Below are 13,926 nucleotides of genomic sequence, written 5' to 3'. Positions count from 1 at the left end.
TGTAGTCCCAGCTACTCAGGAGGCTGAGGCAGGAGAATCACTTGAACCCGGGAGACGGAGGTTGCAATGAGCCACGATCGCACCACTGCACTCCAGCCTGGTGACAGAGCAAGACTCCATCTCGGGGGGAAAAAAATTATTTATGTTGGTTTTCACCTTTCTCTGGGATCTCGTTGAGTAGCTTAATAATCAACCTTCTGAATGCTTTATCTGGTATTTCAAAGATTTCATCTTGGTTTGGATCCATTGCTAGGAAGCTAGTGTGATCTTTTCAACCTTGTTTTATCATATTACCTGTATTTTCTGGTTCCTTCTCATTTGTGTAGACTGTTTCTTCAAATTGTTCTTGAATTTATTCTTGATTTGACTTTTTTTTTTTTTAATTTCTTTTTTCCCCCTCTTCAAGATGTGGCTTTAATGTTTATAGTTTATTATAGCCTAATTTGATTTTGCTGCTTTTAGGGGTGAAGACTCTACATGAGTTTCTTGGTTATAGAGAGTCTTTGTATGCTGACTTTCTCAGATGCTGATTGTAGTAGTTTTGTACTCGGGGTGTGGGCAATTTCATTGTCTCCTGTGGAATTGGAATGGCAAGGATCTCTTGAAGCTTATCTCATTTCCCCGTGTTAGGCACTTTTTTATTTGTTTAATTTTTCCCCAGTATTTTATTTACTCTCTTGATGATCCAGGCTTCAGGCCAGTAGGGGAAGTATCCCTAGATAGAAACCAGTTGCAGCTAAAGCAGGTGGTTAGATACAATACACAATGGTGGGCTGAGGCCCCAGCTTTGATTAATGTGGCTAGGGGATCTCTCAGTTAGATGCACTGAGTTTTATCAGGGTGAAGATTGGGAACTAATCCACCTCCCCTGTCAGGCCAGCAAGAAAGTTACCCACCTCCCAGCCTCACTCCTGTCCTAATGTTTCAGCTATTCACATCAGACAGGCACCTCTTTTCATCTGTAGGGATGAGGGATGTTGATGTTCCATATAGAAAGGAATTGTGACTCTGCCTCTTGTGCAAGCCTAAACTTGGAGAGTGCTTCTGTGAGGATGCAGCCACCGTGAATTGTTCCAGGAGGGCTATCTGTAGGTACATTCATGCTGAATTCGCATGGGAGAAGTTCCAGTTGTGTCTATGGTGGTGGACAAGGTGGAGAACAAGGACCCCTTCTCCACGACCCTTCACAAGCATGCAGGCTGCCTGCCTGTTGGGGTAGAGGTGCAGACTTTCCCTGTTGCACCCAGCACTGCAATTGTGTCTGCTGCAGGAGACTTCCAACCGGCAGAAAGATGTGGGACTCAAGACCTGCTGTCCAAATTCTTTTGTCCCATGGGGTGTTCCCTTGATGTGGTGCTCTCCCACTTTCCCTAGGAATAGGAGTTCTTGATAGCCAGACTACCGTGACTGCTATTGCTCTTCTGGGTCTAGCCACCCAGTGGGGCTGCCACACTCCAGGTTGCTGCTGGGAAATGTCTGCAGGTGATCCGGTGATGTGACCTTTCTTCAAGTCTCCCAGCAGTGGGTACCAGCACCAGCTCTGATGGAGGTGGCAGGGGAGTGATGTAGACTCTGTGAGATTGCTTGGTTATAGATATGCTTAGTGTGCTGGCTTTCTTGAATGCTGGTTTTAATTGTAGTTAACTTTAACTTCGACAGGCTCAGGACCTCTGGTGGCTAGAGTATTATAGGCAGTGGTGATAGCTGAGGTCATTCAGCCATTTTCTCCTTCCTGGGCAGTGTTATTCCATCTGTAGATGCTGTAGTGGGCTGCATCAGCTAGCTTGCAGCCATGAGGTGGTGCTTGCAAGAGAGCACCAGCTGCAGTACTAGCTGTGGGATTTGAGCTTGCCCTAAATTGCCTAGGGGAAGTAATCTGGTTCTGAGGCAATGAGCAGGGCTGTAAAGCTCCCACAAGTTTATGTCCTTTGTGTTAAGCTACCAGGGTGGGTGCAGGGATACATACCAACAGGTGGGGATAGGGTTGAGCAGGTCTGTGCTCTGACTCTCCTTGAGTGGGGCCAGCCATGGCTCCTTTGAGGGTCAGGGGGTGGTTTTCAGGGTAATGTTCCAGAGATAGTATAACTGCCTCTGCTGCACAGAAGAGTTCACAATGGGAGTGGAGAGTAGCAGGCAGCAGTAAGCCTTGCCCAGCTCCCATGCAGTTGGCAAGGCCGGTCTCACTCCCTCAGTGTTCTACTAGCAGCACCAGGTTTAGATCCAGGCAGTCTGCACGCAGAACCCAGATCTGCCGCAGGCCATAAGCTTTCCCACCTGGCTTTCGGGTAGTGCCCCTCCTGTCTGCCCATGAGGCAGATGTGTCTGCAGTGCACTTCCCTGCCCCCCCCGCCCCACTCCCATTGGTTCTGGTCAAAGGAGTTTATCCCTGCTCGAGATTATATCACGAAATTCAGTTAGGAGCATCTTTCACCCTGCAACCCCTTTCTGAGCTAGTTGACTGGCTTCCCCAAGGTCCCCTGTGAGATATATTCAGGTATGGCTTCCCTCGGTTCATGCTGGAGACTGAGAATGCCTGCAAGGCATTTCCTGCTGCTGCTTCTACTTTTATGTTTCTCATCACTCCCTTAAGCAGTTCCAGCTCTGGGTAGGGTTAAGGCCTTCTCCCATGACCTGGATTTTCAGATTCCCTCATAGGGATGTGTATTCTGAAGGTAGTCTCCCCCGACTGACACTCTGAGGATTTATAGTTTTTTACCTGTCTCATGGAGTAGACTTCAGCTTTCTGCTTCTTTCAAAGGATCTGTGGATTCTTGCAGTTTTCCTGTTGAGTTCCTGTATTGCTCCTTGGAAAAAAGTTCACAGTGTGAATCTCTACACACTATTCTGTCCTTCCCAGTGGGAGACGCATGCTAACACTGCCTCCAATCTGCCATCTTCTGGATTTGCTTCTATAGCCCTATGCACTTCTGTCGGCAGGTTTTATATGGGGCTGTGCGATTTGACCTACAAGCCAGTAGATGGTGTTTATGGGTAAAAGCTGGCTGTGGGCAAGGTGGCTAGGTATATACTTGATCCTTGTTTACCAGCAGAAGCTCTCTATTGCCTCAGGCAATGGAGTGGTCCATGGAATGCACAGTGGTCTGAGCTCACTGCTTAGCCCTGGGTGGGCAGGGGGCAAAATGGGTTGAGCCAGACTGGACAGGCTCATTTACAGCTCCCCTGGTGTTGGGCACAAGTAGCAGTGCTGAGGGAGAATCCAGTGGGCAGCGATCAGGTGCCCAGTGGTGTGCCTAGACATGGAGCTGGGAAATCTCCTTGGCTCCTGGTTCTCTGCACAGGCAGAGGGGCACCTAAACTCCTGATCAGGAGAGCGGGTTTGGGTGCTCCAGGTACCTATAAGTCTGCCTGGGCTTGGAGTGCAAAAGGCTCTGCTATACTACAGTCTCTGCACAAGAAAGGTGGGGTGGCTCAGGCTGGTAACCCAGATCAGCAGGCACTGCAGCTACCTGGAGATATGCCTGGGCATGGGGTGGAGAGGACCCCACTTCACCATGGTCTCTGCACAGGAAGGGCAAGTTAGCTCAGTCTGCTGATTCAGATGAGTGGGTGCTCTGAATTCTTGGAGATCTGCTGGGGCATGGAGTGGAATGGGCTCCACTGTACCATAATCTCTACAGGAAGGGTGGGGCAGCTCAGGCCACCAATCTGGGTGAGGAAGTGTGCCGAATACCTGGAGATCCATCTGGATGTGGAGTGGAGAGGGTTCCCCTGCACCAGGATCTCGGCAGAGGAGGGATGGAGAGACTCAGGCTGCTGAACTAGGCAAGCAGGAGCTCTCAGTGCCTGGAGACCTGCCTAAGCATGAAGCAGAGAGGGGCTCCCTGCTGCAGGATCTCTACATAAAGGGTGAAGCAGCTCAGACTACCAGTCCGGGTGAGCAGGTGCTTTGAATTCCTGGAGATCTGCTTGGGTGCGGAGCGGAAAGGGCCCTGTTGCACCACAATCTATGTCCAGGAAGGGTAGCATGGCTCAGGCTGCTCATCCAGGCAAGCAGGTGTTCTGAATGCCTGGAGATCTGCCTAAGCATGGAGTGGAGAGGGCCCTACTATACCATGATGTGTGCACAGGAAGGTTGGGGCAGCTCAGGCTGCCAGTCTAGGAAAGGATTTCCACTTACTGCCTGGAGTCCTGCCTGGGAATGGAACAGAGAGGGCCCTGCTGCACCATGATCTCAGGGGAGCAGCCTGGTGCACTCAGCAATGACACATGCAGACTGATTCTGTGTTGCCAAGCTGGCCCTGGCTGCAAGTCTCATTGCCCAGGAGAAACTTTAGCTGTAGCAGCTCTCTCCTCCCACCCCAAGCCTGCAGTTGAGAAGAGTGCAATTCCAGTGCCTCCTGCTGGTGCGCTTTCCACAGTTCTGGCTGTGGAAGTCCCTGCCCCACTCCAGAGCAAGTGCTCCTGTCTCTCAGTCCCAGATCTAGGAATTGCCTGCAGCTTTTTCTGGTGTCTTTTCCTCTCAGCACCTCCAAGTCTCTCCCCAAGATAGCTCTGGGGCTTGAGAGAAACATCATTCTCTGCCTTGGCCTGGGTTGCTTGGATCCCCAGTGGAAGGGTAAATTACAGAGAGAGACTGTTTCTGTCTCGGGTACTGGGGCTTCACTCACTCTTACCAGCTGGATGCCATCACAAGGGCTGTTTGCCTGCATTGTCCTCCCTGAGATCTGGAACATCCTTCACGATTCCAGTGGATTCCCATTTTCCTTCCTGAATTAAAGCTCAGAGAGTTGATCTTTTTGCACTATCTTGCTATTTCCAAGTGGCTGAGGCACACTAAAAGCCTGTAATCTACCATATTGGAACTGCCCCCTGCCCCCCACCCAAAAAAAAGGTGTTGAGTTTTAATCTTCATTCACCACTGACTCTTTATGTTTCTTTACCGCTGTTTACAGAGAAGAAGAGAAGAAGTTTGGAGTTGATCCCTTTGACTGCTCGAATGGTGATGGCCCACCTGGTGAACCACCTGGGGCACTACCCCCTCAGTGGGGGCCCTGCCATACTGCACAGCCTTGTCAGCGAGAACCATGACAATGCCCATGTGGAAGGCTCCGAGCTGTCCTTTGAGGTGTTCAGAAGTCCAAACCTGCAGCTGTTTGTATTTAATGATAGCACCCTCATCTCCTACCTTCAGACACCCACAGAAGGACCGGTAGGGGGATCACCAGTGGGCTCTCTCTCTGATGTGAGAGTAATTGTGAGGGATATCTCAGGGAAGTACTCTTGGGATGGTAAGGTTTTATATGGACCTTTGGAAGGCTGCTTAGCACCCAATGGAAGAAATCCTTCATTTCTGATTTCGAGCTGGCATCGTGACACATTTGGACCTCAGAAAGACTCTTCTCAAGTTGAGGAGGGGGATGATGTTCTTGACAAATTACTTGAAAACATTGGCCATACAAGTCCTGAATGCCTTTTACCGTCACAGCTAAATCTAAATGAACCTTCCCTAACCCCATGTGGCATGAACTATGACCAAGAGAAGGAAATCATTGAGGTCATTTTGCGCCAAAATGCTCAAGAGGATGAGTATATCCAGAGTCATAACTTCGATTCTGCAATGAAAGTCACCAGCCAAGGGCAGCCCTCCCCAGTGGAGCCCCGAGGACCCTTTTATTTCTGCAGGTTATTGCTTGATGACTTGGGAATGAATTCTTGGGACAGAAGGTAACAATCCAAGCTAGACCTCCAGTTATTTTATCATTATTTTCATGTACTTGTTCTTTTTATCAGTTTGTGGTTGGGGAAGAAGAAAAGATTGGGGAAGAGAGGAGAAGGGAGATTTTTCTTTATTTTAACATTTGCAGCTTATTTTCTGCTACTAAATTAAAGCTAGAAATGAAATTATGCTGTACTGGTGTGCAGATTGAATTCCAAACATGTTGGATATTTTAAAGGATATCAAACATTTGTGTGTGTGTGTGTGTGTGTGTGTGTGTATGTGTGTGTGTGTGTAGGGGGGGTTGTTGTTGTTGTTTGTTTTTTGTTTTTTGAGACAGAGTCTTGCTCTGTTGCCCGGGCTGGAGTGCTGTGGCATGGTCTCGGCTCACGGCAACCTCCGCCTCCTGGGTTCAAGCAATTCTCCTGCCTCATCCTCCCGAGTAGCTGGGATTACAGGCACCTGCCACCATGCCCGGCTTTTTTGATGTTTTTAGTAGAGACGGGGTTTCACCATGTTCGCCAGGCTGGTCTCAAACTACTGACCTCATGATTTACCCTCCTTGGCCTCCCAAAGTGTTGGGATTACAGGCGTGAGCAACTGCGCCTGGCTGAGTGTGTGTGTTTTAATTACTGCTTTGTCCATTATTGTTTCTGCCCTCATGCAGGAAGCAAATGAACTACAAAGGTGAATAAGCCACAGTCTAACCTTAGGTCTGATGTGGGAGATAGACCTAATACAACTCTGATAAAGGATAGAATGACACAGGAGTTCATGAGTAATGATTAAATCCAATGGGAAGTACAGAGCAATGGAGAAGACTTTGTGGAAAGGGGAGGATTTGAGCTGGACCCTGATAGTGGAGTGGAGTTTTTAAGAACAGAGGTAGGGAAAAGGGATTCACAGCAGAGCTGACACTGGAAACAGACACAGTCACACAGGCACATGCATGTAAGTCACATACTCACCAAAGAGCCATCTGTGTCACTGGGTAGTAATGGGATGCTGATGGAATTTTTATACCTTTGCATGTCTTAAGGAGGATGGAGTTCATTCTGTAGGTTTCTATCACAAATCTTTTGTGAGTGAGGTGGTAGAGGATGGATGATAGGTATTTTTATTAAATTACTGATTGAAAAGCGGCAAAATGGTTCTGTAATCACATGGTTTTTCTTCCATCCTTTTTTCTTTATAGGAAGAATTTTCATCTATTGAAGAAAAATTCAAAATTATTGAGAGAGCTGAAAAATTTGGACTCCCGCCAGTGGTATGTGAAAGTATATCAAACCACTTTTTTCCTGTTTGTCTTTGGGTATTCTTGGATAACAGATACAACAGCAGGAATGAATAGACTTACTGAGACATCCAAGGGTAGTTCTGTAACCTAGCATCTGGTGACATTTGCGCATGCCATACCGTTGGTGTTTTTTACTATAAGGAATAAACTTTCATGTTTGATACACTAAAAAGAGGTCACCACTCCCACCTAATCTGTACTTTTGATTATCTTTCTTTGTGGCTGCCAGTAGAAATTTATTCTCATTTGATCTCTGCAACCACCTCCTTATGATGAAGAAAAAGTTTACCTAGGTTTAACAGCCCGTGGTTGCTCATACCATATTATCTAAAGCCAAGTGAGTCTGACTTCAGAATCCATGTTGTGTATCAAGGCGCTAACATTCTGTACTTGTGGCTTCATAGTGTTGGAAAGGTTAAAACCAGTGTGTTGTAATTAATAACTCTCTGTTAATAAGGCTCATTCTCCAAAGCTGGCCAGACTCAGATCCACCCCTGTTCTATACTGTCTCAGAAGCATTTCTAAAGATGAGCTCACAACCATGAAAAGTGTTTGATTTGGGGAATGTGTGTTTCCGAAATCATCTAAGTCAAGAATAAGTATAGGACTTGGTACATAACAGATGTTCCAAAGTTTCGAAGAGAATAAGCTGCCTCCTTAATCTTTAGTTTTTTAAAAAACTCTAAAAAAAAAAAACACCACTTTTATTCCCTGTAGGAATATTCTAATATTCTGTCAGCTCTCAAATTAAAAATTCAGGTTGTTTTCCTCAATTTTATTTTTCAACTCTTCACACTATATTTTTTCACTACATTTTTCTTACTACTCATTAACTCAAAAATTTTCAAATCTGTTTTGATCTATATGTTTTTAAAGGGTGGTACAGTTGCTGGCTGAGAAGTAAGAAGGAAGAAAGGAAATAACAGAGCCCTGCTTTATCTTGACAAAGTCATATCTTAGAATTTCAGAAAATTACTAGAGCTCTTTATTCCATTCATTAAATCCTTCATCCACTGTCACGTTTCTCATCTAAGTCATGAGCTTCTCCTGCTTGCACTTACAGCGATGAGTTAGAGCCTGCTGAATGAACATTTTCACCATTGTGTGTGTTTCAGTGGCTTTGTGATGGTTTTATTGTTTATTTTAGAGTTTTGATCGAAACCCAAAGTGACACATGCTTAAATTTTATTTTCAAGCAAACTCTTGGTTCATGTCACTATTATTTGCATATCACCTTCACAACTGTGATTCTTCTTTGGTGTTTTGAATTCTTGAATTGGATATAAACCCAACTAGCAAAGTCCAGTTGGAATTTTCTTTTAAACACTTGGAAGATTATATTTCAGAAAGGTCCTTTGGTAATGTCACTAAGGACTGAGTAGATAAAATAATATTAAACTTACTCACAGCTATGTATTGTTTCCATCCTTCAGAAGCATATGGTATTAAGATGGATTTGTTTGTATTGACCATTTTGTGGGAATCAGAAGGGCATAAGTTTTCTTTTCTTTTCATTTTTTCTTTTCTTTTCTTCACCCTTCTACTTTCCCACCTGTCTCCCAGGTCACTGAGCGCCTCTTATTGCATCATATAGCTACATACATGTTGAAGCATGAACTGTTTTGTGTATGTTTCCAAGTCTTGGGAATGTGACAGGATGGCTGTTCCAAACCTGATTCCCTCTGCAGAAGGGGACATGAGGGCCTTTTTTCCTAGGTGGCCTTAAAGAGTGATAAATATTTCAGTATCAAATATGCAGACATTTTTTTAAAAACACAAAATTAAAATATTCATTTGTAGTTTTACCTGGATAAAGGAGCCATTCTCTGTCCAGAAGCCTGCAGCTCCATTGCCATTTTAAATGTCTTTGTTTCCTGACTTATCAGGTGAGACAGTAAAAGATTTGAATTTGAATAATTTTTTAAAGTCATTAGAAATGAAAAACCTGAAGCTGCCATTTCTCACCTTGCCCTTCACTGTATTCTGTTTCCTGATTCTTCTTGTGATTCCTTTTCTCTAGAGGAACATAGATCAACTTCTCTATGGAAATTCTGTAAGGGATTTATTCTGAAGAACTCAGGGGTTCACCACACTCTCCCTCCTTCCTTCAGTATTAAATAAGCAGTCATTTGGGTTCCACACTCAGCTTTTTAAGCGTATGCTGAATTATTCCAGGCTTCTTAGTATTAAGTGAATACTTGGTTTCATGTAATTGCGGTCAATTTGTTGAGCGTTAATGCACTTTAGTTGCATGAGGTACAATTGAATTAGCTCCCTGGGGTACTGTTGCAACGAAATATGGCTTTGAATAGCTGAGTGGCAGTCCCCTGCCCCTTGATCAACCTTCACTTAAAACCCCAACTCCTGGATTTAGTGTCTTCTTGACATCAAATGGGTATCAACTTATTTTATGGTGAAGGGTATTTTCAAGATCTTTTTGAAGAAACTAGAAATAAGTCTGGGACTCTTCAGCTATGAGAAATCTAGACTGCCCTGTATTTTGGTCAGGTAGCAGGTAAGAAAATACCTTGTCTGTCAACTTTCATTTAGAACATTTCTGTTTAATTCTGATATCAATGTATCTCACTGCTCTTGATGTATAGTTCCTTCTTAACATGTTCTTTGGAAAAGTTGAGGCTATCTTGCAGCTATGGTCTAGATTGTCAGTGCTATGATGAATGTACATACAAATCACAGTGGGCTTCCCTGTTAGATGTAAATGCCTTCTTGCCACTACATGGGGAGGTGGATGTTAAAATCATGCTTTTCTTTGGCTTTTTCATGTGACAGCACAAGGAAACTGAGCTATTCTGGTCTATTCCTAATAAGAAAGAACAGTGCATTCTAATGAGGAAGGGAAGATTGTTAATTTCATGTATGTGTGTTTCTGAATTACCTGCTCCTTCATGCATTGGTGTGCTTCTTATGGATGTGAAGTGCTGTTGATGTTGCTAATTATCATTTCAAAAGCATGGCTTTAATAAGGCCAGACACAGCTTCTGCATCCTAGCAGGCTCTCTGTGGTACTAACATTTTGGAGAATGTGAAATTTGATGAATGTTTACAACTAAAGGTCATCTTTCCTCACACTCACATTGGTCAGCCCATCATTCAGGCTTAGCTCTCTTGTGCTCTCACATTGAGTTAATGAGGGCTCAAGGACTTAGGAACAGCTGCAATGGAAACAGCTTAGATTTTTAAGGAGAATAAACTGAAACATTGTAGATAAACCTGAGGCTGTTTTTATGTATGTAAAGTCTATAAAACAAAGAAAAATTAAATGCTGAGGAGTTTTTACATATGTAGAGAGACCTTCAGATAAAAACTGAATAACTATACTTCTCCACTTTTGTTGAAAGAGACAGTCTTTTAGGTCATAGGTTATGGTTTCTGTTATTATCCAAGTGCCCAAATTTTTATAGCTCTTGGAATAGGCTAGTTAGATTCTACGCCATTGGTGTCCCCTGCCTGTTGCTCAGGGCAGTGAATGGTGTGGCACTTTCAGGGCTTCCTGCTGCATGAGGACAAGTTTTCTAAATTTATTTTAAGGACATATTAGAGATATTGGGGCTGGGCATGGTGCTCAACCCTATAAAGCCAACACTTTGGGAGGCCAAGGCAGGTGGATCACCTGAGATCAGGAGTTTGAGATCAGCCTGGCCAACATGGCGAAACCCTGTCTCTACTAAAAATAATAAAAAAAATTAGCCAGGTGTGGTGGTGTGTGGTAGCATGCACCTGTAGTCCCAGCTACTGGGACGGCTGAGGCACGAGAATCACTGGAACACAGGAGGTGGAGGTTGCAGTGATCCAAGATCACGCCATTGCACTCCAGCCTGGGTGACGAAGTGAGACTATCTCAAAAAAAGATATTGTGAAAAGATTAAAAACATTAAAGATTATCTTTAAGGATGTATTAAAGATAACGTGAAAATGTCTTTTAAAATGAAAGCAACCTAAATGAAGATTTGGGCCATGACATATTAATATAATGGAATGTTGTTACAATCATTAAACCTCTGTTGTAGAAGCACATGATATAAAAGTGTTCACACTAAAAAAATGGTTGAAATGGTGAATTTTATGATATGTATATTTTACCACAATAAAAAAGTGTTCACAAATATTTTAAGTGAAAAAATCTGTTGTAAAACAGAATGTAGTAGCTTCTCATATGTGCATGCAAAAGTGTATCCTAAAATGGTGTAACGGCTATGTTCTTTGCTTATCCGTTGAAACTGCAAGTGATTTTTATTCTTCTCTTTTCTTTCTGTATTTTCTAATTCTTCTTCCAAGTATGTTTATTGCATATAAACCATAGGGGAAGTGAATAAGCTGAGTAAAAGGAGAGAACTCTCTTCCTCCAGTTATTTGTATGACTTTTTAATTGAGAATCAGTTAGTTCTGATTATTAAGTAGAGAAATAACTCACACAGAAGGAAATCTTAGATAATTTGTTAAAATATGGAACTCAGTTCTACCAATACAATATCTAATCAAATTACAATGTTGAAATACTAAACAAATATTAAAAAATTAAATATTAAATTTGACAGAAAAAATATTTCTGTATTTAAGAACTTGACAGTTATTCCTATGAGATTTATCAGAATGTAGTGCAAAAAAAGGAGAAAGTTGGAACCGCTCTGGAAGTGGACATCGAAACTTTAAAAAAACCAAAACTCTTGGGTGATTGGGCTAGGGAATGAATGATTCGTAATCAAAGCTCCGTTTGAATAAGAACAGTGTTTCATCTCTAAACTATCACCAAATGCTTGGTCTAGGCCCAGGTATTTTGTCGCTTTACTCCAGGGTATAATTTGTAGAAATTTATTATTAATGCATTCAAATGTATCACCATATATCTGCTCAGTGTAACAGAGACTTAACTGAACACCTACTATATGCAAAGCAGTATGCTAGATGTGCAAAAGAGAAAATGGCAGGGCTTCTTTTTTCAAAGTACACATCACTTTTGCTTGATTTGATACCAGAGTATCCAAGATCTATGTTGGAACAAGCAGATGAAGGGTTTATATGGCTAAAAGGGGTTCCACTAAATAGCTATCCACCCTGTCAGGCACCCTCAGAATAGTCAGAGTACAGAAGTTGGTAAACCCCTTCATGAAGAAAATACCTAAGTGTGTTCGCTTGGAAGGATCTTCTTTTTCTCATAAAATCGTGGCATATTTTATAGTTCCAATCACAGAGCCACCCAGTAGCCTTAAAGTGTAGAGTTAAATATGGACAGTCACATAGATCTATTCACAATTTATATGTATTTGAAATACTTTAAAAGATATTTTTTTACCAAAAACAGAGAACTTACCAAATGGTGTGCCCCAGCCTTCTGGTCGGTGTATCTTATGTCTGAGGGTATGGTCTCAGGAAGCAGATGGCCTTGCGACAGTTCCCATCCCCAGCTTGCTGGATGTGCTTTTTGTTTCACTTTCTGTGCCTCCTTTCAACCACCTCTACTAGGGAGGTGATAATAATACTCATCTCTTTAGCATGGTTTTGAAGAATAAATGAGACTATGTGTCAGACCATCTCAGAACACTGACTGACCTCTAGCAGGTTCTCAGTAAATGTAAGCTCAGTGGTAGAAGTCATGCTGGTGGTATTAATAGTAGTGAAGTAAAATTTTACATATAAGAATTCTAACTCCTTTAAATTTAAAAATTTATAGCCGTGAGACACACAAAATCGCAGTGTTTTACATTGCTGAAGGTCAAGAAGACAAGTGTTCAATCCTCTCTAATGAAAGAGGAAGCCAAGCATATGAAGACTTTGTTGCTGGACTTGGATGGGAGGTAATGCATTTCATTCAGTAGGTGTTTATTGACCAGCACTGTTTAAAGATGTGTCCAAACTAGACATTGTGTAAGTTTTTACATGTGCTTTTGCATTCAAATATAGCATAGATAGAGTTCTGGAATTGAAGAATTTATTGGATTTGACATCTGTTAGTTGCTTGTCAGTATTTAATACATGAACTTTTGTTTTCCTTTAACTTTCCTCTTAATATTTTTTCATTTGCTTTTTATCAGAACTGAATAGTCAGATGGGCTCTCCCAGACATAGACAGTTTGTAGTAAGAGAAGACAAATGTGGGCAGAGAAGCAATGGCTTTGGCCACAGTATGGAGATTGAAGAAGAAGTCAATGACTTGATGGGTGAAAAGATGAAGAAAGAGTTGGATGAAGTCAAAAGTTGCAATGAAAATATAATATAATAGCCATGATGGTTTAGCTATCAACCTATTTCCCTAAGGTAGATTTCAGGATGATTGATGTTGAAAAAGTTTATTTTTTCTTTATTAAATGGTACTCTGACATACAGACATATATACATTTATACACACATACACACCTTTCCCCAAAAAACATAAACCTAAAAAAAAAATTCCTAGAATCTGAAAGAATTAGGAGTAGTTAAAATGGAAATCAACATATCTAAAATAATTTACTTCTTTTTTTCTTTTTTTTTTGTCTTTTCTTAGACAGAGTCTTGCTCTTTCACCAGGCTGGAGTGCAGTCGCACAATCTCGGCTCACTGCAACCTCCACCTCCCGGGTTCCAGCAATTCTCCTGCCTCAGCCTCCCAAGTAGCTGGGACTACAGGCACGCGCCGCCACACCCAGCTGATTTTTTTTTGTATTTTTAGTAGAGATGGTGTTTCACCATGTTGGCCACGATGGTCTTGATCTCTTAACCTCGTGATTCACCTGCCTCGGCCTCCCAAAGTGCTGGGATTGCCCGGCCAATTTCCTTATTTTTTATTAGTTTCTTGAGTACCTGTGCTCTGAAAAACTCTCTGGGTGCCTTTGAGAGCTCAGTGCTAGCAAGGGGACTAAGGCAGGGATGGAAACAGGGTAAGAGTACATCAGAGTCAAAACGACATCCTTACTAAGAAGGCAAGTAGGTTTGAGTCTAACAGTTACTGTACTTCC

General features: G+C 42.7%; 1 protein-coding gene across 20 annotated transcripts in view; it reads left to right on the top strand.

Annotated features, from left to right (window-relative positions):
- Positions 1-13,926, top strand: part of RALGAPA2 (Ral GTPase activating protein catalytic subunit alpha 2) — a 323,115-nt gene that overhangs the window by 194,447 nt on the left and 114,742 nt on the right. For 18 of the 20 annotated variants that reach the window (XR_007067471.1, XR_937111.3, XR_007067470.1 and 15 more), the window contains 3 exons: positions 4,914-5,685; positions 6,873-6,944; positions 12,664-12,787. Coding sequence is in view for 13 of the 20 variants with exons in the window: in XM_011529310.3 (XP_011527612.1) it covers positions 4,914-5,685; positions 6,873-6,944; positions 12,664-12,787 (968 nt within the window). In the remaining 7 variants the exon portion in view is untranslated. Of the gene's footprint in view, positions 1-4,913; positions 5,686-6,872; positions 6,945-12,663; positions 12,788-13,024; positions 13,248-13,926 lie in introns of all 20 variants that reach the window. The other 2 variants (XR_007067473.1, XR_937112.3) reach the window with 1 other exon arrangement.

The sequence above is a fragment of the Homo sapiens genome, chromosome 20, assembly GCF_000001405.40.
Source record: "Homo sapiens chromosome 20, GRCh38.p14 Primary Assembly".
Taxonomy (NCBI): domain Eukaryota; kingdom Metazoa; phylum Chordata; class Mammalia; order Primates; family Hominidae; genus Homo; species Homo sapiens.
This window is presented reverse-complemented; position numbering and strand designations above follow the sequence as displayed.